The 27,443-nt window shown below is 39.3% G+C and overlaps 2 long non-coding RNA genes across 2 annotated transcripts in view; one reads left to right on the top strand and one right to left on the bottom strand.

Annotated features, from left to right (window-relative positions):
* Positions 1–27,443, top strand: part of C1QTNF7-AS1 (C1QTNF7 antisense RNA 1) — a 422,973-nt gene that overhangs the window by 305,974 nt on the left and 89,556 nt on the right. The window lies entirely within an intron of this gene.
* LOC124900673 (uncharacterized) lies at positions 431–9,661 on the bottom strand. The gene is made up of 2 exons (XR_007058063.1): positions 9,596–9,661; positions 431–2,910 (listed from the first exon to the last, which is right to left on the bottom strand). It is a non-coding gene; the product is annotated as an uncharacterized LOC124900673 (long non-coding RNA).

Raw genomic sequence — 27,443 nt, 5'->3', positions numbered from 1 at the left:
AACTAATCTAGGTATTCATGGGAAGGAATTTTTTAGATATGAGTAAGACCCCAAATCAGTTTGCCTTAAGATAGGGAGGTACCTCAGGCCTGACCTAAACACCTGAGACATTTACACCTGGATCTAAAGGTCAAATGGAGGGGGCTACCTGGCAAGGCACACAGGTAGCCTCTAGAAACCAAGAGCAAAACAAGTAGACAACAAGAAAATGAGGATCTCAGTCTCACAACTGCGGGAACTGAATTCTGCCAAGAATCTGAATTGACTTGAAAGTGGATATTCCCCAGAGCCTCCAAATGAGAGTTCATTCTGATCAACATGTTAAATTCAGTCTGGTGATAGCCTGAGGAAAGAACCCAGTGAATGCTTCCTGGACAGGAGACCTACAGAATTGTGAGCTTATAAGTAGGTATTGTTTTAAGCTGCTACGTTTGGCAATTTTTTACACTTTTATTTTAAGTTTAGGGGTACAAGTGCAGGTTTGTTACATAGGTAAATGTGTGTCATGGGGGTTTATCGTATAGATGATTTTATCACCCAGGTGTTAAGCCTAGTACCCATTAGTTGTTTCCTGATACTCTCCCTCCTCTCACCTTCCACCCTCGAAAAGGCCCCAGTGTGTGTTTTTCCCATTGATGTGTCCATGTGTTCTCATCATTTAACTCCCAATTATAAGTGAGAACATGAGGTATTTGGTTTTCTGTTCCTGTGTTAGTTTGCTAAGGATAATGGCCTATAGCTCCATCCATGTCCTTGCAAAAAAATGATCTCATTCTTTTTATGGCTGCATAGTATTCCACGGTATATATATATGTGTTGTGGCAATTTTTTACATACCATAGAAAAGTAATAAATGTCATAAAGTATCGGGGAATCTGCCCCGATATTCACGTAGGTTCTTTTCTATTTTCCTTAAGTGTCGGCCAGCTTGAGAAATAAAGGGACAGAGTACAAAAGAGAGAAATTTTAAAGCTGGGCGTCCGGGGGAGACATCACATGTCGGTAGGTTCCATGATGCCCCACAAGCTGCAAAAACCAGCAAGTTTTTATTAGGGAGTTTCAAAAGGGGAGGGAGTGTGCGAATAGGTGTGGGTCACAGACATCAAGTACTTTACAAGGTAATATCACAAGGCAAGTGGAGGCAGGGCAAGATCACAGGACCACAGAACCGGGGCAAAATTAAAATTGCTAATGAAGTTTCAGGCACCATTGTCATTGATAACATCTTATCAGGAGACAGGGTTTTTGAGATCAACCGGTCTGACCAAAATTTATTAGGGGGGAATTTCCTCTTCCTAATAAGCCTAGGAGTGCTATGGGAGACTGGGGTCTATTTCACCCCTGCAGTCTTGACCATAAGAGACAGGTGCACTTGGGGGGGGGGGGGCTTTTTATAAGCCTATACCTCCAGGTGCATGTTCTCTTTCCCAGGGATCTTCCATGCTGAGAAAAAGAATTCAGTGATATTTCTCCCATTTGCTTTTGAAAGAAGAGAAATATGGCTCTGTTCCGCCCAGCTCACCACCGGTCAGAGTTTAAGGTTATCTCTCTTGTTTCCTAAACATTGCTGTTATCCTGTTCTTTTTTCAAGGTGCCCAAATTTCATATTGCTCAAACACACACGCTGTACAATTTGTGCAGTTAATGCAATTATTACAGGGTCCTGAGGCGATATACATCCTCCTCAGCTGACAGGATTAAGAGATTAAAGACAGGCATAGGAAATCACAAGGGTGTTAATTGGGGAAGTGATAAGTGTCCATGAAATCTTTACAATTTATGTTTAGAGACTGCAGTAAAGACAGGCATAAGAAATTATAAAAGTATTAATTTGGGGAAGTAATAAATGTCCATGAAATCTTCACAATCCACATTCTTCTGCCACGGCCTCAGCTGGTCCCTCCATTTGGGGTCCCTGACTTCCCCCAACAACAAAGAAGACGTTTAAGATCTAGGCATTTGCACTTGTAGTTCATGGTGCCTGTTCCCATCTGACTTTTTCTTAGTTTAGGAGGCTTGTGGATTCTGGGCAATGGTATAATGTGCTTAGGTAAAAATGGGGGGCATCTCTGATCTTATCCCCAGCTCTCTCCAATTCTCAGAGAAGGGGGAAGAATGTCTTGATGATTCCTGAGCTCTATGGAAGTAACATTAAAAATCAGAGGAGAAGACAAGTGAGGAGAAGCCCCAAATGGCAACCAAGTGAGGAGGGACCATGTCTGGTCAAGCGGTTGGGAACATGCACCTGGAGTGGAGGCTGAAGTGTTTTTAAGTGGGTACTCAGTGAATAAAGATGTGGATCACCACACTAAAGCCACATCCACTACTGACACAGAGCTACAGATGATGGGGGCAGACAGAATAAAACTGAACCAGAAATGACAAGGTTTTCCTCCCTGCTTTTCCAAGGGATCAATCTCATCCACCTTTTTGCCTTTTTTGTGGCAGACTGTAGTTTCCAAAAATTGCTGCTCCAATACCTCCTATCCTACAACCTCTTCTCCACTGTGATCTTGCCCTTATCTCATTAGGTAGTAAAATCTATTTCCCCTCCCTTTGAACCTAGCCTGGCCTTGCTTGACCAAGAGAATATGGTAGAAGTGATGTCCTAGAACTTCCATTACTAGGTTATAAGAAGTCTTGAAACTTCTTCCTGAACCTCTTGGAATGCTCTCTTTGGGGGTATTTTCTTTGAAAATCTGTTCACCATACAGTGAGATGCTCACACCACATGGAGAGACCACATGTTGGCTGTCAGGTCAACAGCCTCAACTGAGCTCCCAGATGACAACCCGCATCAAGTGCCATCCATATAAGTAATCCTTCTTGGACGTCCAGCCTAGTCATGTCTTCAGATGGCTGCATCTCTAGACACCCGATGCAAGAGCTGCCCAGCAGAGCCCAGTCAACCTGCAGAACCATAAAAGACCATAGTAAATTGTTGTTTTAAGCCACTAAGGTTTGGAGCGGTTTGTTGTGCTGTAAAGATATAAGTGTAACACCCTCTTTTCTCTCTGTCCCCTCTACCCTTCAAAGGAAATGAAACTCAGAAGTAAAGGGACTTATCCAAGGTCACATAACTAAGTAGCAGAACTAAGACTGGAACCCATTAAACACACATTACATTTCTAAGGAGGGTCTTCTGAGGTCAGTTATGCCACCACATACCATGAACTGGATGCTTTGGAAACATTGTGAATAAATGGAAATCTGGACTGAGGAGCAGGGGTAGGCAAGCCTCCTTGGGGCTGCCAGTTTTCATTCCATCTTGATGCCAGAGCTGCCTTGAACATTACAAGTCCCTGGTCATTAAGTCCTGATCAGCCTTTCAGGCCCTAGTCAGCAAACGTTGAGCCAAGGACATCTTCATCACCCTGGTAACAATTCAGGCTCTGCCATGGGGGCCACATTCCAGAGGCCAGGGAACAGACGTGGAGGTGGGGAGCTGGCACAGAAAGCAACCCTTCTCAGAAACCAGCCCAGAAGAAATTCACAAAAGCCACGTTTTCTTTGGTCTAATATTTACAGTTCAAGAATTTCCCCTTCTGCAAACAGCAGGGTTGAGCCTGTGGTCATGGACACAGCCCGAGCTGAATGCTGCTTCTTGCTCTTTATCACTTTTCCAAGAAACCTGCTGTGTTCTGCAGACATTACATGGTCTATCTTTTGAGACTTTCTCTCTCTCTCTCTTTTCCTCCTCCCTTTCTCCTTCTCCCTTTGTCCTTCTCCCACTCTCTTCCCCCACTTACACAAAAATCTTGAAATAAGACATTAGCAGATTAATACTTATGGAGCATTGACTGTTCAAAATACCATGTTGGATACACAATGCTATTTATTCAGCAATCCCATTATAACAGGCCTATTACACTCATTGAATAGTTAAGATCAGAGATGTTAAGTAGCATGCCTACAGTCACACAGCTCCTAAGATGTGCTGTGATTGGAACTCATGTCTCATTGTTCTCAAGGTTCCTGCTCTGCCCACTTTGCCTTCTTGGCAGAAAGCTGAAACACAGCAAAGGCAAATCCTATGGGTGGTGGGGTGCTGGGTTCCCTTTCCAGACTACAATCCAAGATGAAACCCTCTCTTCCTACTGCCTGCCTTGTACGCAACCCTGGAACCACAATGCGGGTCTGAAAGACAACTTGAAAGAAGATTGGGTGGGGACAACTTCTCACCTTTCATCATGCCTTCAGGCAAACATTTTCTGAGGTCCTAAGGATGCCCTGACACACAGGGAGGCTAAAAAAAAACCCCAATTTGATCATTTTTACAAAATGCAATGAAGCTCCAGTCATTATTTTTCTGCTGAAAATAAAAAGATAAACAAGACCATCTCTATCCTTAAGCAAATGATGGCATGACCATTAACAAGCATTTAAAATATTCTACTCTCTTCTTACTCACTTCTCACAATGATTCTATGAGGAAGCCATTCGTGTACCCATTGTATAGAAGTGGAAAGTATGAGTCACAGTGGTTGTCTGAGAACTTCCAGTCAATAAAGACATAGTCACAGCCCAAGGTTTCAGAAGTTGTGTGATCCCAGTGGGTACCAAGTGCATCTGAGCAGTGAGAGGGGACCATCCTGGATCAGGCAATAAAAGGGTCCCTTATCCAGAGATAATCTAACAATACTAAAACTGACTAAAAGTTGTCTGTTTTTTAATCTGACATTGCTATTCAATGTCAGTCGTGAAATATTCCTTTCTGAAAAAAATTTTGCTGGTCAAAATTATAAACAATTCTGCAGTTACTATTAAGTTTAAATATATATGAAAATTTTATATCATCACATTTTAATTTTTTATGCTTTAATAAATGCTACATTCTATATAAAAGTTAACTTAGAAGCTTCCCAGCTGTACAGTTGGTCTCTGAATCCCAGGGACTCAGCAACATGCCCTTGGTTAAATAGTAAATTTGTAATGGCTTGAAATTGTTCAAGCTTGCCTCAGGGGCAGTTCATGTCTCCAACTTACTAAACTTTAGCTATTAATAATTAGTTGAGCACCCCACTGGGTGCCAGGCACTGTGCTGGGCCGAGAATAAGATACGTGAGCTCCCATCTCTCACAGAGTGTCAGTCTTTTGCAAAGTGTGCTGATTAATTTTATGTGTCAACCTGACAAGGTTAATGAATACCCAAATAGCTGGAAAAAAATTATGCCTGTGAGGTTGTTTCCAAAAGAGATTAGCATTTGAATCAGTCAACTGAATAAAGGTGATCTGCCCAGATATGGCAAAAAGACAGTGGAAAGGTTAATTCCCTCTCTCTTCTTGATCTGGGACATTCATCTACTCCTGCCCTCAGAAATCAGAGCTCCTGGGTCTCAGGCTTTCAGACTCCAAGACAAATTAGCAGCCCTAGGAGCCCCTACCAGATTCTCAGGCCTTCAGTTTTGGACTGAACTATATCACCAGCTTTCCTGGTTCTCCAATTTGCAGACAGAATATTGTGGAACTTCTCAGCCTCTGTAATCTTGTGTGCCAACTCTCATAATAAATATCCTCTATCTATCTATCTATCTATCTATCTATCTATCTATCTATCTATCTATCTGACTGTCTTATCTCTCTCTTGCTCTCATTCTGTCCATCCATCCATCTATCCTATTGGTTCTTTTTCTCTGGAGAGCCCTGAGTAATGGAGAAGGAGATAGATCATGAAGAAGAAAACAAAGTGAAACACTTCGAAGTAATTTCAAAGTGTTTTAATTTCAGCTTTCTGCAGTAAAAAATGCTCTGAAGGAGAAAATAACAGAGTTCTTTGGGAGAGTTTATAGAATAAGAGGTATCTGGGGTATTCATTAGACTTGTCAAGTTGACACATAAAATTAACCAGCACACTTTTCAAAAGACGGACGCTCAGTAAGAGATGGGACCTCATGTATCTTATTCTCCTGTTTTTGATAAGATAGACAGGGACCTCTTTCTGCGATGGTGGCCTCTTAGCAGAGAAATGAAGAATAAATGGAGTCAGGCATGGTGGTACATGCCTTTGGTCCCAGCTACTCCAGAGCCAGAGGCTGAGGTGGGAAGGTCACTTGAGCTCAGGAGGTCGAGGCTGCAGTGAGCTATGATTGTACCACCGCACTTCAGCCTGGGAGACAGAGTGAGACCCTGTCTCTCTTTGAAAGAAAGAAGAGAGAAAGAAGAAAAGCAGGAAAGGAGGAAGGAAGGGAGGAAAGAAGGAAGGAAGGAGGGAGGGAAAGAAAAGAGAAAGAAAGAAAGGGAGGAGGAGGAGAAGGAAGGAAGGAAGGAAAGAAATGAGAGTTGACTAGATCTTCCCCTCGAGAGGCGGGAGAAGAGGGTCCTAACCACAGAAAGAACATGTGAATGAAAATTCTAGCATGCCTGAGGCCTTGGGGGAAAACCCTCACAGAGCCTCGTGAGAGGTTGGAAAATGGCAGGAGGAGAATTGAAGAAGAAAGCAGGAATCAACCATATCCAGAGAGGCTAGGAGTGTGGGGTAGGCATAGATTTTATTCTACTTGCCACCAACAGTTTTCAGAGGGCAAGAAACACATTCTGATTTTTATTTTCAAAAGATCTCTCTTGCTGCCATGTGGTGAAGACAGTGGTAGAAGTCAGGAAGGATAATGGCAATGTCCCTGGAAGTAAAACAGGTGAGTAGTAGATATATTTGGGGATATAGTCTTATTGAAAGGGCTTGTTGAGGTTAAGGCAAAGAGAGGAATCAAGAACAGCTCCTAGCTACCTGTTTTGTTTTGGGTAGGGGTGAAGCCATTTGTTGAAATAGAAAATTGGGGAGAAACATTTAGAGGGGAGTAGAGTATGTGTGTGTGTGTGTGTGTGTGTGTGCAATGTAACACATTTTTATTTAACAAAACTTGGAAAATAAGAAAAAAAGTCTTCCATTTGTTTGTATCCTCTTTTATTTCCTTGAGCAGTGGTTTGTAGCTCTCCTTGAAGAGTCCTTCACATCCCTTGTAAGTTGGATTCCTAGGTATTTTATTCTCTTTGAAGCAATTGTGAATGGGAGTTCACTCATGATTTGGCTCTCTGTTTGTCTGTTGTTGGTGTATAAGAATGCTTGTGATTTTTGTACATTGATTTTATATCCTGAGACTTTGATGAAGTTGCTTATCAGCTTAAGGAGATTTTGGGCTGAGACAATGGGGTTTTCTAGATATACAATCATGTCGTCTGCAAACAGGGACAATTTGACTTCCTCTTTTCCTAATTGAATACCATTTATTTCCTTCTCCTGCCTAATTGCCCTGGCCAGAACGTCCAACACTATGTTGAATAGGAGTGGTGAGAGAGGGCATCCGTGTCTTGTGCCAGTTTTCAAAGGGAATGCTTCCAGTTTTTGCCCATTCAGTATGATATTGGCTGTGGGTTTGTCATAGATAGCTCTTATTATTTTGAAATACGTCCCATCAATACCTAATTTATTGAGAGTTTTTAGCATGAAGGGTTGTTGAGTTTTGTCAAAGGCCTTTTCTGCATCTATTGAGATAATCATGTGGTTTTTGTCTTTGGTTCTGTTTATATGCTGGATTACATTTATTGATTTGCGTATATTGAACCAGCCTTGCATCCCAGGGATGAAGCCCACTTGATCATGGTGGATAAGCTTTTTGATGTGCTGCTGGATTCGTTTTGCCAGTATTTTATTGAGGATTTTTGCATGAATGTTCATCAAGGATATTGGTCTAAAATTCTCTTTTTTGGTTGTGTCTCTGCCCGGCTTTGGTATCAGGATGATGCTGGCCTCATAAAATGAATTAGGGAGGACAAATGGAAGAACATTCCATGCTCATGGGTAGGAAGAATCAATATCATGAAAATGGCCATACTGCCCAAGGTAATTTACAGATTCAATGCCATCCCCATCAAGCTACCAATGACTTTCTTCACAGAATTGGAAAAAACTACTTTAAAGTTCATATGGAACCAAAAAAGAGCCCGCATCGCCAAGTCAATCCTAAGCCAAAAGAACAAAGCTGGAGGCATCACACTACCTGACTTCAAACTATACTACAAGGCTACAGTAACCAAAACAGCATGGTACTGGTACCAAAACAGAGATATAGATCAATGGAACAGAACAGAGCCCTCAGAAATAACGCTGCTTATCTACAAATATCTGATCTTTGACAAACCTGAGAAAAGCAAGCAATGGGGAAAGGATTCCCTATTTAATAAATGGTGCTGGGAAAACTGGCTAGCCACATGTAGAAAGCTGAAACTGGATCCCTTCCTTACATCTTATACAAAAATCAATTCAAGATGGATTAAAGACTTAAACGTTAGACCTAAAACCATAAAAACCCTAGAAGAAAACCTAGGCATTACCATTCAGGACATAGGCATGGGCAAGGACTTCATGTCTAAAACACCAAAAGCAATGGCAACAAAAGCCAAAATTGATAAATGGGATCTAATTAAACTAAAGAGCTTCTGCACAGCAAAAGAAACTACCATGAGAGTGAACAGGCAACCTACAAAATGGGAGAAAATTTTCGCAACCTACTCATCTGACAAAGGGCTAATATCCAGAATCTACAATGAACTCAAACAAATTTACAAGAAAAAAAAAAACCCCATCAAAAAGTGGGCGAAGGACATGAACAGACACTTCTCAAAAGAAGACATTTATGCAGCCAAAAAACACATGAAAAAATGCTCACCATCACTAGCTATCAGAGAAATGCAAATCAAAACCACAATGAGATACCATCTCACACCAGTTAGAATGGCAATCATTAAAAAGTCAGGAAACAACAGGTGCTGGAAAAATAGGAACACTTTTACACTGTTGGTGGGACTGTAAACTAGTTCTACCATTGTGGAAGTCAGTGTGGCAATTCCTCAGGGATCTAGAACTAGAAATACCATTTGACCCAGCTATCCCATTACTGGGTATATACACAAAGGACTATAAATCATGCTGCTATAAAGACACATGCACACTTATGTTTATTGTGGCATTATTCACAATAGCAAAGACTTGGAACCAACCCAAATGTCCAACAATGATAGACTGGATTAAGAAAATGTGGCACATATACACCATGGAATACCATGCAGCCATAAAAAATGATGAGTTCATGTCCTTTGTAGGGACATGGGTGAAATTGGAAATCATCATTCTGTGTAAACTATCACAAGAACAAAAAACCAAACACTGCATATTCTCACTCATAGGTGGGAATTGAACAATGAGAACACATGGACACAGGAAGGGGAACATCACACTCTGGGGACTGTTGTGGGGTCGGGGGAGGGGGAAGGGATAGCATTGGGAGATATACCTAATGCTAGATGATGAGTTGGTGGGTGCAGCACACCAGCATGGCACATGTATACATGTGTGACTGGCCTGCACGTTGTGCACATGTACCCTAAAGCTTAAAGTAAAATAATAATAATAAATAAATAAATAAAAAGAAAAAAAGTCATCTCACTAATTAAAACCAAACACTGTTAATAGTTTAGCACATATCCTTCCAGTCCTTTTTCTTTACATTTATATTTTATTTAAATATACAGTATGCAGTTATATGCAGCATAAGTTAGTGTGTCATAGTAATTAGGAGTTAGATAAGCCAGAAATTTTTACCTTATCAGTTACCTTGCTGTGTGACCTTGGCATTGTACTTATCCTTTCCGAACTTCCTTTCTTCATCTGTAAAATCAAATGAATATAACACTAATCTTTAATTCAATCCATTTTTTGAAGTTAAAATAAATGATGCTGATAATGCACTTAGCACAATCTCTGGCAAATGATAAGCACAAGAATTGTTAATTATCATTATCTTTAGTATTTATATGATTATTTCCCTAGGAAAAAAATATTTAAAATGGAATTGCTACCCTAAAATGCTATACAAATAACAATAACAATAACAAACAAAACAGAATACATTCCCAAACTTCACAATAACTCTGATTTTTTTTTTCTGACTCAAAGGAATTTAGGGGAAAAAGGTAACAAAAAATTGACCATGGTAAAATCAATCTGACCCGAAGCCCTATTCACATATCTTTAGGAATATTAAATTAGCAGAGATTAAACATTGAATTTTTTCTCAATTATTTTTATGATGGTCCAATATTGCATTAGAGTTTTATTGGATGGAATTCTTGTCTTGCCACAAATCAATGTCACATTACTATTCCAAGAAGGAACATTCCTCCTGAGCAGATGAACCGATGGATGTCTCACATTGGCTTGGATGCTTTCTAGGGCTAGCAAACATGTGTGATGACAAGGTAGCCCTGAGACACTTCAGAGGCAAATTTCACTGGGAGCGGCTGTCACTGGTTTGCTTTCACCATCCGCAAATCTGCCCTTTCCCAGTGGTTTTTCTCATCTACAATCCCATGTCTCAAAGTTGCTTCTGTTCATACCAAAGTTTCTTAAAGAACCAAAGAGGCCCAGCCCATAGAAAGAGCTGGTGGTTATGCTGGGGGCTAGGCTTGAATCCAGTAATACCTCCAGCCCAGCACAGGAGTAACCCCACCATGAACTTGAATGAGGCCTTAAGGCTAGTGATGGAGCCTGTCCCATTGACCCTAAGTAGCCTGAAAAGCCCCAACAACAGCAGCATGTGGAAAAGTGAATGCAAGCCAAGGAAACATAAAGGCGCAAGGAATAATTTAGAAGCCTAGTTAGAACTGATTAATTTCCTTGTCAAATTAAATTCATTAGCCCGGAAGCCAATTGAGTTGGAACATTTGTGTATTAATAAAAATAGTGCCTAACAAGGACCCCCTTTGCGGACATTGGAAATGATTTGGCTACAGAAATGGCATCACAGAAGGGGCTGGAGGTAAAAAAAGAAAGTGCTTCTAATCTAGTTATATTGGCATCATAAAGTCTTATTTCACAGAACCTGAGCTATACTATTATGACTGCAAAGTGAAATAAAGTGTGTGAAATATGTTGTAGCCCTTAAAATGCTCTAAAATGTATAACAGTATTACCTAGGTCAAGCCCACAAAGATGATAGATGGAAGCCCAGAGAGGTTACATAACCAGATCAAGCTAGCTAACTTGCTGGTTATCTAAGTAGGGTTATCTTACTGGTTAGATAACCAGTAAGTTAGTGCCTTACTTGGTTATCTTATTGGTTAACCTTACTTAGATAACCTTACTTGATTATCTTACTGGTTGTCGAACCAGTAAGTTAGTGGCTCACTCGAGGACTTCAAGCTGTATCTTTCAACTTCCAATTCATTGTTCCCTTTTCATAGCATGATACCTCTATGACCATCATGCTAATACTTTGGCAATGTACTTCTTATCCTTTCCATTTATTTAACATCAGGCATCTTGCACATTTATCTCACTAAATTCTCACAAGAACTCGGCACAGTCACATGGTGGAAGGAGAGGTTGAGAAACTCACTTGTGTCACAGAGGTGAGGAAGAGGGAACTGGAGTATATCTGGTTCTGAAGTCCACATTCTCAACCACTGCAATACATTGCCTCCCTCCCAAGGGTTACCTCAATCTAAAACTCTCTCTCAACTGTGTCAGCAATTTTGCAGGAAAGAATCAACCCTTGGGAAACATTTGCTGTGTTGCAGAAAACAGACTAGCTACTTCACAAGCCTTAACTCACATTATTCTGGTAATCTTTTAATTAGTTGTTCTTAGTCCTAGTTTATAAAAATAGATAAGCCAGCTAATAGGAAGCAAGGAACTTGTCACAGGTCAAAGTGCCAGTGTGAGTGTACTTTTGCCTGGATCCAAAGGAATTCCCTTTGTACCTTGTGGCCTCCCACACAATTGCCATAAAAACATCACAGGTAAGTTAATAACCTTTGTTATGAATGAAAGCTGACTGTAGCAACAGCCAGTCAGTCACGGACTCACTTCATCCTTACTATTCAGCCTAGCAAATTCAAACTATGAGCAAGTTCATAGCCAAACCATATTACAAATAATCTTTGAGTCAGATAAAGCAGGACCAAAGGAAAGGAGAGGCAAAATGCAGAAATAGAGAATTCTACAGCAGTGATAGGAAAATAAATAACACCTTACAGCAAGCATTTATTATTTTTTCCATTTATTTGACATCAGGCATCTTGCACATTTATCTCACTAAATTCTCACAAGAACTCAGCACAGTCACATGGTGGGAGGAGAGGTTGAGAAACTCACTTGTGTCACAGAGGTGAGGAAGAGGGAGCTGGAATTATCTGGTTCTAAAGTCCACATTATCCACCACTAAATTCTAGAGTAGAATCCACTAAATTCTAGAGTGCTGAGAAATATTAGTAGTTCTTCAATGGAAAATAGATTTGGAAGTATAAAAAAGTATGTAAAATAATGTTATAAAACCAAATTGCTGTATATGTGTGAGCTTATATATGCATACAATTGACCTTTAAACAACATGAGTTTGCACTATATATGAGGATTTTCTTCTGCTTCTGCCACCCCTGAGATAGCAAAACAACCCTTCCTTTTCCTCCTCTTCCTCCTCTGCCTACTCAACATGAACACTGTGCGGATGATCTTCATGATGATCTACTTCTGCTTCATGAATAGCAAATACTTTTTATCTTCTTTATGATTTTCTTAGTTACACTTTCTTTTCCCCAGCTTATTTTATTGTAAGAATACAGTGTGTAATACATACACAAAATATGTGTTAATTGTTTATGTTATTGGTAAGGTTTCCAGGCAACAGTAGGCTATTAGTAGTCAAGTTTTGGGGGAATCAAGTTACATGTGGATTTTTGATTACATGGTGGGGGTCAACACCCCTCTCCTCAGCATTGTTCAAGGGCCAACTGTGTGTGTGAGGGTGTATGTGTATTTCTGTAGGATTCCAGAATTTTTTTTTTACTTGTTAGAGTAAAATTTAAATGTTCATGAAGGGATATACTACTTCTTGAATTTACTTAACAGTGGAATGCCTTCCTAACATTTTTTTTTCCCCTCAGAATACTGGTTAGTATCTAGAACAGAGGTAGGCACACTTTTCTGTAAGGGCCAAATGGTAAATATTTTAGGCCATGTGGGCCATACGTTTCTGTTGCAATGACTACATTCTGCCATATAGCATGAAAACAGCCATCAATGATACATAAATAAATGGGCATGGCTGTGTTCCAATAAAATTGTATTTACAAAAAGACAGCAGTGCATGGAAGTGGGAGGTAGGGTGGACAGGGGTGGATCTGGCCTATGGACCTCTGTTTTCTAACCCCTGATTTGGTAGAACAGTTGTTCCCCAAAGGGCAGCTTACATTGTTGTCCATATTCACTGATGTTTACAAAGTACTAAAGTAGAACACGTAGCTACCTGGCTTTCTCTAATTCAAGTATCAGAATCTTGAGTCCAATAATTAGGTAAGGTCCATGCAATAAAACTATCTGGAGGGATTCTTTAACTGAGACTTAATAAGGGTGATAACATTAGCTTTTTCAGATGATTCTAGAATTCTAGAATTAGAACTTGAGGCATACTTTTATATTAAAAAAAAACCTGCAAAGGGATTCTGTTATTAGTCTCTTAAAATAAATCATATTAAAAAAATTAATGGTGTTTAAATGGTCATATATAAAATTTAACATCCATTAATAATAAAAATGCTAAACTTGAAGTCTACGTCCTTAGTATGACAAAGTATATTCCAAAACAGCCAATATTGTATCATGGTTAACAATAAAACACCAGGAATGTCTCCATTGAAATCAAGAACTAAACAGAGCTTCTGGCATCATCGTAATTATTTAAGTGTATTCTGAATATCCTGGACATTCTCATAATGCCTGAAACAAAAATAGGTGTTATAAGTGTGAAAGGAAAATAAATATTGGGACCCCAAACTCACTAAGCCAAAGGGAAAAGTTAAGCTGGGAACTGAGTTAGGCAAACCTGCCTCCCTTTTTTTTTTTTTAGACGGAGTTTTGCTCTTATTACCCAGACTGGAGTGCAATGGCACGATCTCGGCTCACTGCAACCTCTGCCTCCTGGGTTCAAATGATTCTCCTGCCTCAGCCTTCCAAGTAGCTGGGATTACAGGCATGCACCACCACGCCCAGCTAATTTTGTATTTTTAGTAGAGATGGGGTTTCTCCATTTTGGTCAGGCTGGTCTCGAACTCCTGACCTCAGGTGATCTGCCTGCTTCGGCCTCCCAAAGTGCTGGGATTACAGGTGTGAGCCACCGCACCTGGCCTCTCATTTTGGTTTTTTAAATAAGATGGCTACAAAGATGAAGAGCTACATACCTTACTTACATTTTGCCTGCCCACCTGAGACAAACGCATATCTGATTGTTTCTTGTGCCCTACTGTCTACATTATCTTACGTAAAAGTGCAGATTCAGCGAGCCAGACAAAGGCACGAATATTTCCCCTTCCCCCATCTCACATGAAAATTGTGTATTTCTCAATATCCCGCCCTTTCCCCTTTAAATATTGAAGCCCTCAAAATCATCTTCGGAAAAAGGCATAGACCTGTCTCCCAGGCGCGAGTCTTGACTTTGGCAAATAAACCTCCTAAAATGATTGAGCCATGCCTTGGTCATTTTCCTTGATTGACATCAGTATAAGAAAGGGTATCATTATGTGAAGATGACATGGTTTACTATTTACAAAAATCCAAATCAACCAAAATGGTATTAGAATTAATAAGAGTTATGAGTAAAAGAGATCAGAGAGATAAATATATAAAAATCAGTAGCATTCCTCCAAGTCAGCAACTACTATTTTGAAAACATAAGAAAAATATAAACCAAGTATATGCCAGCAGGTAATTATAAAATGTTAGACGATAAATTTGACCAAAAGAAGTATGTGTGGGTATTTATGTTTACATATTTTATTAAAACATGCATATGATTTGAATAAAAATCTCCCTGTTCCCACCCAGGAATAGAAAGTGGATTGAAGACAGGAATCAACCCAAGGGGGACGTTGTGGAAGTCTCTCTTCCTATCGCATATGAACATTAACAAAAGAACAGCATCAGAAACTGGGTCTTAGTCGCAGGTAGCAGCCCCACTAGTGATAAAGGAAGAACATGCTAGGAATGTTAATAGTCATACGATGCTGCTGCATAATAGAGAATTTGTCTGACCTTTGCCCAGGGTTTCTGGCACAGAGCTTTTAAAACCCTTATAATTTCCCAAGTGATAAAAAGTGTTTTTGTTATCCATGAGACCCTTAGACCACACTTGAGTTTATGTTAATAACTCACGATCAGCTCCTAGATAGCTTCAGGATGAGAGCTGCTCACCAGAAAGACCAGCTGCATCATTCGAGGGCTGGGACTTTGAACCAGGCTGACCTCCAGAAAGGTGACAGGAGGCTGGAGAGTGAGTTCAATGACGTGGCCAATGATGTAATCAGTCATGCCTACATAATGAAAGTCCAATAAAAATACTAGACACTGAAGCCTGTGGGAGCTTCCTGGCTGGTGAACATATCAATGTCCTGGGAAGAGGATGTGTCCTGACTCCACGGGGACAGGGCATAGAAGCTCTGCGTCCAGGAGCCTCCCAGGGCTTTCCCTGTGTATCTCTTTCTTTGGCTATTCCTGAGTTGCATCCTTTATAGTAAAACCATGAGTATAGCACATTCTGAGTTCTCCAAGTCATTCTAGCAAATTATTGAACTAGAAGTGGTCACGGGAACCCCTGAATTGTAGTCGGTGTGTCCTACGTGCAGGTGGCCTAGGGGCCCCGTTTTTAGCTGGTGTCTGAAGTGAAAACAGTGTTGCTTGGAACCATGCCCTTTGACTTACGGAGTCTGCACTAATTCTGGGTGCTTAGTGCCAGAACTGAATTGAAGTACATCCGTTGGTGTTAGAATAGATGGAAAACATCTTTCCCTGCGCAGATAATTATGATTATTTGCCCGCTAAATAGTTTTAAATACTATATCTTTTAGCTTTTAATAATAGTTCACACTCTCTTATCTGAAATCCTTGGGGCCTAGTTTTTTTTTTTTTTTTTTTTTTTTAGAATTTAAAATTTTTAGAGAGTTGTGTCCTAAGACTCCTGAAAGTCTTGGCAGCATCTTACAATGAATGACTAATATTTCTACAGTGATATACATAATTGATAACAAAATCAGTAAGGACCCATAAGTAGCTTCATTTCAGTTCATGTTACATGTTTCCACCATGTAAAGCACTGGCTTCAGAGCTTTGTGAATTTCAGAATTGTTGATAAGGAATTGAGGATCTCTATATGAATGTATCCTGTTAGTCTTCTGAATGGGGACCTGGCATGCACTTCAAACTTATTTTACCAGAGAACATTATTTTATTTTTTCCAGAGGACAGACAATGGTAAAAGAAAGGAAACAAAGTTTGAAATATGGAGAACCAGAGATATCTTTGGAAAATTTTTTCAATCTTGTCATGTGAAATTGCCAGCAATCTGGCACTCATCAATGCCTAGTCAAAAACAAGTTTTTCTGCTAGGATATATAATAATGTAGCATATACAATTATAATCCTGAAGAGAATCACACTAGTATCAGAATCCCTACATCTGTAAGGCACAAACCTATAATAGTGCCTCTGCTAGGCAGAATTAACAAATGGCCCTCCAAGATTCCTGGCCCTAGTGTGCACACACATTTCTCTAGTTATTCAATCCAATTCTAATCTGAGTACTACTATAAAGGGATTTTGCAGATGTAATTAACCTCTCAACTCAGTTAACTTTAAAATATGTAGACTAGGAGGAGTAGGGGCAATCCTAATCATATGAATCCTTTTAAAGCTGAGAGATTGGCTGGTAGCAGAAGAAAAAGACATAGAGACATACCCCTAGCTGGTTTGCAGTGGGGAAAAAAAGCAAACATTAATATTGTAAACTTCCTACTGGGGTCACATGGTACGTAAGCCTCTAGATGCTGCCAGTTGTCTCAGGCTAGTGGCTAGGAGGAAAATGGAGACCTCAGTCCTACAGCTGCAAGGAAATGAATCATGTCAACAACCAGTGAAACCAGAGAGCTTATAGGAGGACCCTGAACCCCAAATGAGAACTGTAACCCTGACTGACACATTGATTTCTGCTTGAGACCCTGAGCAGAGAATCCAGCTATGCTGTGCCTAGACTTCAGACCTGTATAAATTGTGAGGCAATAAATTTGTGTGTTTTTAGCCACCCAGTCTGTGGTGATTTGTTACACAGCAATAGAAAGCTACAACAGTACCAAACAGTAAATACATCTGCATGAGAAGTCACAGGCCGTATGCAGCATGCACAGATCTGACATGTCTTGCCCTGACAAAGTGGACATTTTGGATACAACGGCATTCAGAATTGCCATTAATGAAGTGAAGCATTCTAAACTCACAAGTGTTACAGTGACAAAAGTCCTAGACATGTTCATCAGTAAGTCCGTGTATGTAACACAACAGTAATTTGATTATATATAATTATGTAAATCAATAATGTGCCTTGAATTACTTTTGTATATGCCCTAATTTTGTCTATTCTTCAGAATTATCGGTTATAAAAATATAGGTGAGCAGGGCAGATAAATATTATGTTCTTTTTCTAGAGTTTGCGGTATTTGTGGTAATTTGCTAGACTCTAAAAATACATAATTTGCTGTATTTTTCTCCTTTTAGATGAATGCTCCCCCGCATAATTTTGTATGAGATATTTCCTATTCTTTTTTTAAAAAAAGAGTGTCCCCAAATAGCATAAGATTCAGTACCACAAATAGTTAGACACCCAGAGCAAGGATTAACTCTATAATTTGTGTTTCCCAAAATGCAATTTGAGAAAATCCTGGTGTGGTAGCCATTGTTACTCAGCTGCCAATACCTTCTGTCCTGCATCCCTCTTTCTCCGATTTTATTCTGATGCTTACCCTCTTCATGCTAAGGGAAGGAGGTCATGTCCAGCCCCATCATGTGACTGGATTTTCCAGAACCAATGGCAGTTCCTTCCCCACACCACTGATTGGAGAAGGCATAGTCAGATGATGCCAACCTGGCCAATGAAATCTATGAGAGGTCTGTGCGAGAACTTCCAGGAAGGGCCTTCCTCCTTAATCAAAAACAAAACAAAACAAAATCTTGAAAAAGAAACTCCCCTCTGTGACTTTGGAAACTGTGACTGGTTAACATGATGGCATGATCTGGGTCTGAAGTAGCTATCCCAGCCGACCAACTGAGGACGGACCAAATGGGAAAACGCAAAGCCTTGGAGACATTGTGCAGTTGCCAGGGCTAAACCTAGAAAAGTCTTGCCTCAGGGTTTTCTATTGGTGAGGGTATAAATCCTTCCTCATGATTTAGGCTATGTATTAGTGTGTTCTCATGCTGCTAATAAAGACATACCTGGGACTGGATAATTTATAAAGGAAAGAGGTTTAATGGACTCACAGTTCCACATGGCTGGGAAGGCCTCACAATTATGGTGGAAGGTGAAAGAGGAGCAAAGTCACATCTTACATGGCAGCAGGCAAGAGAGCATGTGCAGGGGAACTCCTCTTTATAAAACCATCAGATCTTGTGAGACTTATTCACTATCAGGACAACAGCATGGGAAAGACCCCCCCGCCCCCATGATTCAGCTACCTCCCATGGGGTTCCTCCCATAACGTGGGAATTATGGGAGCTACAATTCAAGATGAGATTTGGGTGGGGACACAGCCAAACCATATCAGGCTACTTCATTGTTGGGCCTTTTGTTGCTTAGGGCAGAAAGCCTCAGGATACAGCAGGGATGCTAGAAGTGGAGACTGTGGGGCTTCCTGAGGCTTCCTGAAGTGAGATGCTAATGCATGTGGTTGGGTGACTTCAAGGGTTTTCTGGGTGTAATTGGGAGGACCTGGTTTACTTAATACAGACCTCATCAAAATCCCAAAGGGAAGTTTTGTTAAGAAACTCGACAACATGATTCCAATCATTCCAAAATTCACCTAGAAACATGAGCAGAATAAACAAACATTTCTGAGGAAAAAATATATTGTTAGGACCAGCCCCACATATCATGAAGCTATGATAGGTAACTGATTGTGGTTCACGTGCTAGTGGGTATGACAGGTTAATGACAATGGAAAGTTGACAGTAGACCCCACTAGCAATGGAAGAAATGCCAATTAAAATAATTTATGCTATCTCTTTTAATCACAAAATTCAAAAAATAACCTAGACTCTTAATGCTGGTCAGCGCGTATGTGATGGATACTTTCATATTCTCCTGGGGGGATTTTCAAATTGGAAGGACCTTTCTAAAGAAAGTTTGTAGCAAGTTGCTTAAGTAAATTTGTGCACTTTGATGTAATTATTCTACTTTGATGATATATCCTAAGGAAATAATTTCAAATATGTAAAATGCTTTATGCAGGCAGATGTTTATTACTGTAATAATGAAAAATAGAAACCAATTAGATTTGCAACATGCACAGGATATTTAAACCAATTATATCACAAAGGCTCTCATGCTGGTATTAAAAATTATGGTGATGAAGACTAAACAATGAGAAATATTTACGATTTAATGTGAAAAACGATGATATAAAATTATATACAGTATAATTTAATATTTGAAAAACAGCAACAATGGTCCATGTAGGGAAATGCTGGAAAGGAATGAAACATAATTTGAACAATAGTTGGATTTGAATAGTGAGATCACCAATTTTTTTTAATCTTTTTAACTTCCAAAGTCTCTTTAAAATGCTACTTTTGTAGTGAATAATTTTAAAAATCAGAGTAATTGCTTTTAAAGATGTTGTATTAGTCAATGTTCTCTGAGAAACAGAACAAATGGGATCAACAACAAGCAAAAGGTTGTTGAAAAAAAATCATTTGCTTCTCTCCTAAATCCTATAAGTATTATTAGGTATGTTTAAAATATTTGGAAATGGGTACTCAGAAGGAGTAAGTGAATTTGCTGAGGACTAGCAAAGCATAATCATTAAATTCCTGACAGGACTGGGTCTCAAGTCTGACACTTACCACCAGCTTTGTGACCTTAGAAATGTTACTCCATCTCTTCGTGCCTCCATTTACAGACCTGTGAAATGAGGCTAAGAACAGCAGCTGTCTTGTGGAGTTGCTCTGCTCATATGCAATTATGTGATTATGAGCAGAGCTGATATTATTATTAGAGCTGAGGTTCAATCTCAGGTCTTCTGGCTCCAAGTCAGCATATTGTTCTTCATACTTATTTGACTTCTTATAAAATTTTGCCATTATACGAAATCAAATGAATACAATCATCTGACATTTGATAGGAGCCAATTTCTCACAACTCCCTTGCACATAAAAGAGTCTTCTCATGACTGAGAACAGCCAGGAGCTGCTCTTTCTTCTTCCAAAGGACCTTTGTTTGTTAGAGGCATCCTGGTGTGCACAGAGTAGCCCTGCCCGAGGAAAGAACACACCATCACTCTGTTTCTCCTCGATGGGCTGGTCCTTCTACTTCTTCCAAGTCCTGTTTCCCTGAGAGTGTCATATGTCTTCTCAAAATGGACCATTGCCGCCTAGGGAATGATGTGCCAAGTATTGAACAAAGGCTCTGTTTAGATTTTGCCACTGGAGAGCTGAAACCAAGGGTCAAATTCCGTTTTGCATTTCTCCTTGTTGCATCTCTGTTCATGTTAGCACAGAATTTTGGAGAATACAGTCTATACTCCTCTCCTCAACCCGCCCTTTGACACAAATACCTGCAGCTCTGCTCCAAAACCTCTATTCCTCTACTACTGCATGGTGGGGCTTCCTGTTGAGTGATATAACACTGTTCGTGGTGCCCTCAGTTAGGAAACACGTTCCTTCCAAAAAATTTGAGTGCATTCCAATAATGACTACTCACATCACCCCATGGAAAGAGAGTGTTTCTATTTCATTAGTAGACACTGATGCTCTGACTTAGAATTAGGAGAATTGTTAAAGAACATCTTGTGAATCTCCTTATCAATGCTTTACAGCACTGGATGATATTGCTGCCAAGTGGTGACCTTGTGCTGCCTTGACTCTATGCCATAACCTACATATTCCAAATTCAAACAACTTTTTTGTTTAAAACTCTTTCTACATAAATGAGTTGGGTGTATCACTTCCTTATAGCAGACTTTATATGTCAGTAAATGAGAAAATTGGTATGATTTATACAAGCATTTTGCCCAGAAGAGCATGCCATGCTGAGTAAATTTATTTATTTAGTCCCAAGGTTGAGGACATAATAAACTTTTGGAAAGTGTTTTAGTGTTTTCCATTTGTCCTTCAAGATTCACTCTTAACCTGCCTCTGCCCTACTTTTTGAGTGAAGAGGTTGACTACTACAGATTCCATCACTGGCCACTGTTGTCTTCTGACATTTTGTTGGTTTCAGTAAGGTCAGGATATTTTTCATCCTGGATTTCCTTGAAGGCAGAGTCCAAGAATAGGGTTCGTGTTCAGGTAGTTTTATAAGTGATAATAGGAAGCAGGAGTGAAGGACTGGGGTGAGTCAGATAAGGGAAGCAACAAAATCAATATAAGGATCTACTACCAAGTTGGCTACTGCAGTGAACATCAGGTATTAAATCTGAGCTGCTCAATGGTTCTAAGAAGAAAACAGACTATGCCTCAGCATTGTCCACCAGAAGGGTAAAATGGAGAAGCAATTCACTATTGTCTCCAGCCCCCAAGGGCTATTGATTGCCCACATTTATTTGTTACTAATGAATGAGTGCTGAGCAGAGTGCCACAGGCATCAGAGAAGACCTGGCAGAAAGAGGAAGGTGGAGTATAAAAGAGGGAAGAGCAGCAGACACGTGAGTTGAGGCACTGCCAGCCTGAAACAGGCCAAAACCTACATAGAATTGTTCAGTAAGGACAAGGGTACATGAGTTGGTGTACAACAGGTTGCATATACTGTGTATTTATTCCCTTGAGTCCCTCCTTGCAAGGCCACCGCAGGTATGATTTATATCACCCTACCTAAGGCTACAGCTCCTGTTGGGTGGCCCATGAACCTCGGATCTGAGCCAACCAACTTATCTCTCAGAAACTCCATCTCTGAATGCTCCGACAAGGAAGAGACCCATGGTACCAAAATGAAACCTGGTTCTGAATTGGAGAATCCAATGCTCTAGGGGATAGCAATGTAAATCTGCCAAACCCAAAAGGCTAAGCATCATGAGATTGGGAAGATAAACTGTAAGAAACATCTACTCAAGGTGAATCTAAAAAGAAAAATTACAAAGTATGTGGTCAAAATATTTATCAGAAAATATTTTGTACACAACTCAACAAACAGGAGAATTTATTACTGAGGAACTGTAAGTTTTAGAACCATATTTTAAAGTAGACTTTACACCATGTGGATAAAATCCCCAACAGAATATAAGAAAATGTAGTATCCATGAAGAAAGAACAAGAAATTATAAAATAAAAACAGGTGGATATGAGTCAAGAACAGAAAGATTTTTGGAGGGAGTTGTCTTTTTAAAACAAGCTTTTTTTTTTAGAAGAGTTTTAGATTTCTAGAAATATTGGAATAACAATACAAAGATTTCCCCTATATCCCAAACCCAGTTTTAAAAAATCATCGTCTTACCTTAGTATGGAACCTGTATTAGCCTGGTCTCACACTGTTAATAAAGACATAACTGAGACTGGGTAAAGAAAAAGAGGTATAATGGACTCACAGTTCCATGTAGCTGGGGAGGCCTCTCAATCACACTGGAAGGCAAAGGAAGAGCAAAGTCACATCTTACATGGTGGCAGGCAAGAGAGAGCTTGTGTAGGGGAACTCGCCTTTATAAAACGATCAGATCTCGTGGGACTTATTCACCATCACAAGAACAGCGGGGGAAAGACCCGCCCCCATAATTCAATTACCTCCCACTGGGTTCCTCCCATGACATGTGGGAATTAAGGGAGCTTCAATTCAAGATTTGAGTGGGAACACAGCCAAACCATATGAGCACCTTTGTTACAATTAATGAACCAACAGATTATCATTATTATCTAAAGACCATTATTCAGATTTCCTAAGTTTTCTCGAATGTTCTTTTTCTGTTTCAGAATCCTATCTTGTTATTTATGTTTTCCTAGTCTCCTCTTTGTGGTTTTTCAGACTTTCCATTGTTTTCCTGACCTTGACAGTTTTGAAGGATACTTATCAACTATGTTGTAGACCATCCCCCAGTTGGAATTTGTGTGATATTTTCGTGTGTAATTAGACCAAGGGGTAATATGTTTTGAGGAAGAAAACCACAGGGGTAAAGTGCCACTTTCATCACATTATATCAAGGATACCTGTTAGCAATATGACTTACAGAAGGATATTTTTTAATGGCCCAAAAGAAATTCTGAAAGAGAAAAAATATAATTAGCAAAAATTTCAAAGTATTAATAGAAGGAATAAATATAGGACCCAAAGATATAATTATAATATAATTATATAATATGGGTTTTAAGTCACTAAATTTGTTGTAGTTTGTTACGCAGCAATAGAAAATGAATATATCAAATATTTGAAGAAAACTATATGAAAGAAAGACACCAAACTCAACTAACATCCGAAGAAACACTTAATATAACAAGTAGAATGTTTTTCTTTAAAAAATACTATAATTTCTAAAGTAATTTTAAAAATTGTGGTAAGAACATTTAACATATCTATCTTCTTGACAAATCTTTGAGTGTACAATGCAATACTGTTCAATACAGTCATGATATTGCACAACAGATTTCTAGAACTTACTTATTCACCTTGAGTAAGTAAAACTTTATGCCCACTGCACAGCAACTCCCCATTTTCCCCTTTCCCCAAACCCTGGAGATTACCCTTCAAAGTAGGAAGGAATAAATACAGGACCCAAATATATAATTGGTGAATTAGAAGATAGTACTGAAAAACTCATACAGAATGCAGCAAGGGGACATCAAGAAATGGAAAGGATGAAATAAGAGACATAACTGATAAGCTCATACAGGTGTTATTGGAAATCCTAATAACAAAATAGAATAAATTGCCAAAAGACAATATTTGAAAAGACAATAGCTGAGTAATTGAAGAAAAGACATAAGCCTTTAGTTAAAAAGTACAAACTAATTCCGGTAATTTGCATCAACCCTTTTACTGAGAATAACTGAACAGACTGGGAATAACAAACAAAATATTTTTATTTAAAAATTTGCTTTTAATCCTTGGAGAGCTAATAAGCAATAAGTCATAAGGAATTATGAGAGGCTGGGCGCAGTGGCTCATGCCTGTAATCCCAGCACTTTGGGAGGCCAAAGAGGGTGGATCTCTTCAGTCCAGGAGTTCAAGATCAGCCTGGCCAACATGGCGAAACCCGTCAATACTAAAAATACAAAAATTAGCCAGGTATGGTGGTGCACGCCTGTAATCCCAGCTACTCAGCAGGCTTAGGCACGAGAATCGCTTGAGTCCAGGAGGCAGAGGTTGCAGTGAGCCAAGATCGTGCCACTGCACTCCAGCCTGGACAACAGAAGAAGACTCTATCAAAAAAAAAAAAAAAAAAAATTAAGAGGTCAAGATCTAGGAAATCCAAATAATTGGGCTGGCATTGAAGCCACTTTTTCTCCATGGTTGTCCGCTGATTTCAGAAGCTAAGCAACCCTTTTGATAGCTTAATGGGATGAAGAGGACAAACATTACAGTCTCAGGCATGCAAATGAGTGAAAGCCCTGGAAACTCACCCTCAGGTAAACCAGAAGTATACAGGTCTTGAAAGGGATAAAAGTCATTTAATTTAGACTAAAGTGGCCCAGATTGTTAGTGCCCTAGCTGCCTGCTGAACTAAACACAAACATTGTCTGGAAAAAGATAAAATTATCATAGGCCTCATATTATTTGTATAATTTTTATATACAATATCTTGTTTAGTCCCTTCATGCTATTATAACAGATTACCATAGATTAGGTGGCTTATAAACAACAAGGGTTTATTTCTTGCAATTTTGGAGGCTGTGAAGTCCAAGATCAAGATGCTCACAGATTTGGTGTCTGGTCAACACCCAATTCCTGCGTCACAGATGGCCACTAGGCAGCTCTCTGGGTCTCTTTTATAAGGGCACTAATCCCATTCATGAGGGTGGAGATCTCATTACCTAATCACCTCCCCAAATACCTTCTAATACCATCAGCTTGGGGTTTAGGTTTTCAACATATAAATGCTGGGGGCACACAAACTTTCAGTCCATAGCAATATCTGATCTTTAATAGAAAATAATCAGTCATATGAGGAAACAGAAAAACATAAAATAAAATTCCAAAATATCAAGAGAAGCAACAGAAAATGGATTCCCACAGGGGAGTCAGATAATGTAGTTATTAGACACAGATTTTCAAATAACTAAACATAATATGTTTAAGAAAAAAATACAAGATGGAGAATTTTGGCAGAAAACTGAAAACTATAAGATTAATCAAATAAAAATTCTAAAAGAAATAGTCAAAAATTAGTTACCATATGGAATATTTGAATGTCATGATTAACAAAGTTCATCTAACTGACAAATTTAAAATATTTATTCAACAATTGCAAAAAATACATTGTTTTCAAATAAACATGAAATATTTATATACTTGGACCAGGTGCTAAGCCATGGAAGTCTCAAGAAGTTTTAAAGAAAAGAAATACAAAATGTGTTCTCAGACTCCACTACAATTAAACTAGAAATCAATAAAAAAAATTAATGATTAAGGTTCCCATATAAGATTACGAATTTCACCTCTAAATAAAATATATTCAAAAAATAAAGAAAAAAGCACAGTGGAAATCAGAGGATGCTTCACCTGAATAACACTGAATATAATACAAATTAAAACTAAAGTAGACTACATTAAAGTCATGCTTAAAAAGGAAATTTATAGCCTTAAGTTCATGTAGTAGAAAAGACAGGAGACTCAAAATCAGTGAGCAAAGCATCCATCTCTAAAGTTTAGGTAAATAAAAGTGAAATAAATTGAGGAAATTTTAGGGAGAAAAAAATAAAGATGAAAGCAGAAATTTGTGATTTAGAAAACAAGGATATTATAGAGAGGCTTAAAGAAAAAAATTGCGTCTCTGAAAAAATAAATAAATTTAATACATTTCAGATTAGACTGATACAGAAAAACAGGAGTGTATTAATTTGCTCAGGCTCCCAAAATAAAATACCACAGACTGGGTCGTTTAAATGAAAGAAATTATTTTCTCACAGTTCTGGTGGCTGAAAGCCCAAGATCAAGGTGTAAGTAGGGTTGGTTCCTGAGAAGGCCTCTGTCCTTGGCTTCTCAATGATGCCTCCTCTCTGTCCTCACAAATTAATAAGGGAGTTTTGCAACGTTGCTGGATACTGGGTCAATAAACAAAATTCTATAAAACTTCTATATCAGATTAACAAAAGATTAGGAAATAAAATTTAAACAAAGATATCATTATAATACCATAAAATAGAATGAAATCCAGAATGTAATAAAATACATGCAGCCTTTTCTCTGTGCAAATGCAGGAAGAGAGAGAAAGAGAGCACTCTGGTGTCTCTTCCTCTTCTTATAAGGACACCAGTTTTAGGGCTGGGTGTGGTGGCTCACACTTGTAATCCCAGCACTTTGGGAGACCGAGGTGGGTGGATCACCTGAGGTTGGGAGTTTGAGACCAGCCTGACTAACATGGAGAAACCCTGTCTCTACTAAAAATATAAAATTAGCGGGCATGGTGGCACATGCCTGTAATCTCAGCTACTCGGGAGGCTGAGGCAGGAGAATTGCTTGAACCCTGGAGGTGGAGGTTGCGGTGAGCCAAGATCACGTCATTGCACTCCAGCATGGGAAACAACAGGGAAACTCCACCTCAAAAAGAAAAAAAAAAAAAAAAAAGACACCAGTTTTGTTGGATTAGAATCCCACCCTTATGCCGCATTTAACCTTAGTTACCTCCTTAAAGGCCCTAATCACCAAATACAGCCGCACTGGGGGTTAGGGCTTCATCATATACATTTTGTGGGAGGCACAGTTCAGTCCAAAACAAAGAGAAAGCAAAAAAACAGAAATAACCATAATCAGAAATCAAAAGGGGAACAAAACTTTATATCCTACCAACCTTTTAAAAAACTATTAAAAGACCATTTATTCCAGTAAATTTGAAAATTTCGATGAAGTAAATAAACTACTAAAAATATAACTAAAAAGTTGCATAATAAAGCTTAGAAAAAGTGGATTGTTGTATATTTATTAAAGTCAGGCCAGATGTGATGGCTCACACCTGTAGTCCCAAAGTGCTGGCACTTTGGGAGGCCGAGGTGGGTGGATTACTTGAGGTAAGGAGTTCGAGACCAGCCTGGCCAACCTGGTGAAACCTCATCTGTACCAAAAAATACAAAAATTAGGCAGGTGCAGTGGTGAGCACCTGTAGTCCCTCCTATTTGGGAGGCTAAAGTGGGAGAATCACTGAACCTGACAGGCAGAGCCTGCAGTGAGTGGAGATCGTGCCACTGCACTCTAGCCTGGGCAACAGAGTGAGACCCT

The sequence above is a fragment of the Homo sapiens genome, chromosome 4, assembly GCF_000001405.40.
Source record: "Homo sapiens chromosome 4, GRCh38.p14 Primary Assembly".
In the NCBI taxonomy this organism is placed as follows: domain Eukaryota; kingdom Metazoa; phylum Chordata; class Mammalia; order Primates; family Hominidae; genus Homo; species Homo sapiens.
The sequence above is the reverse complement of the archived record's forward strand: the minus strand, read 5'-3'. Positions and strand labels throughout refer to the sequence as shown.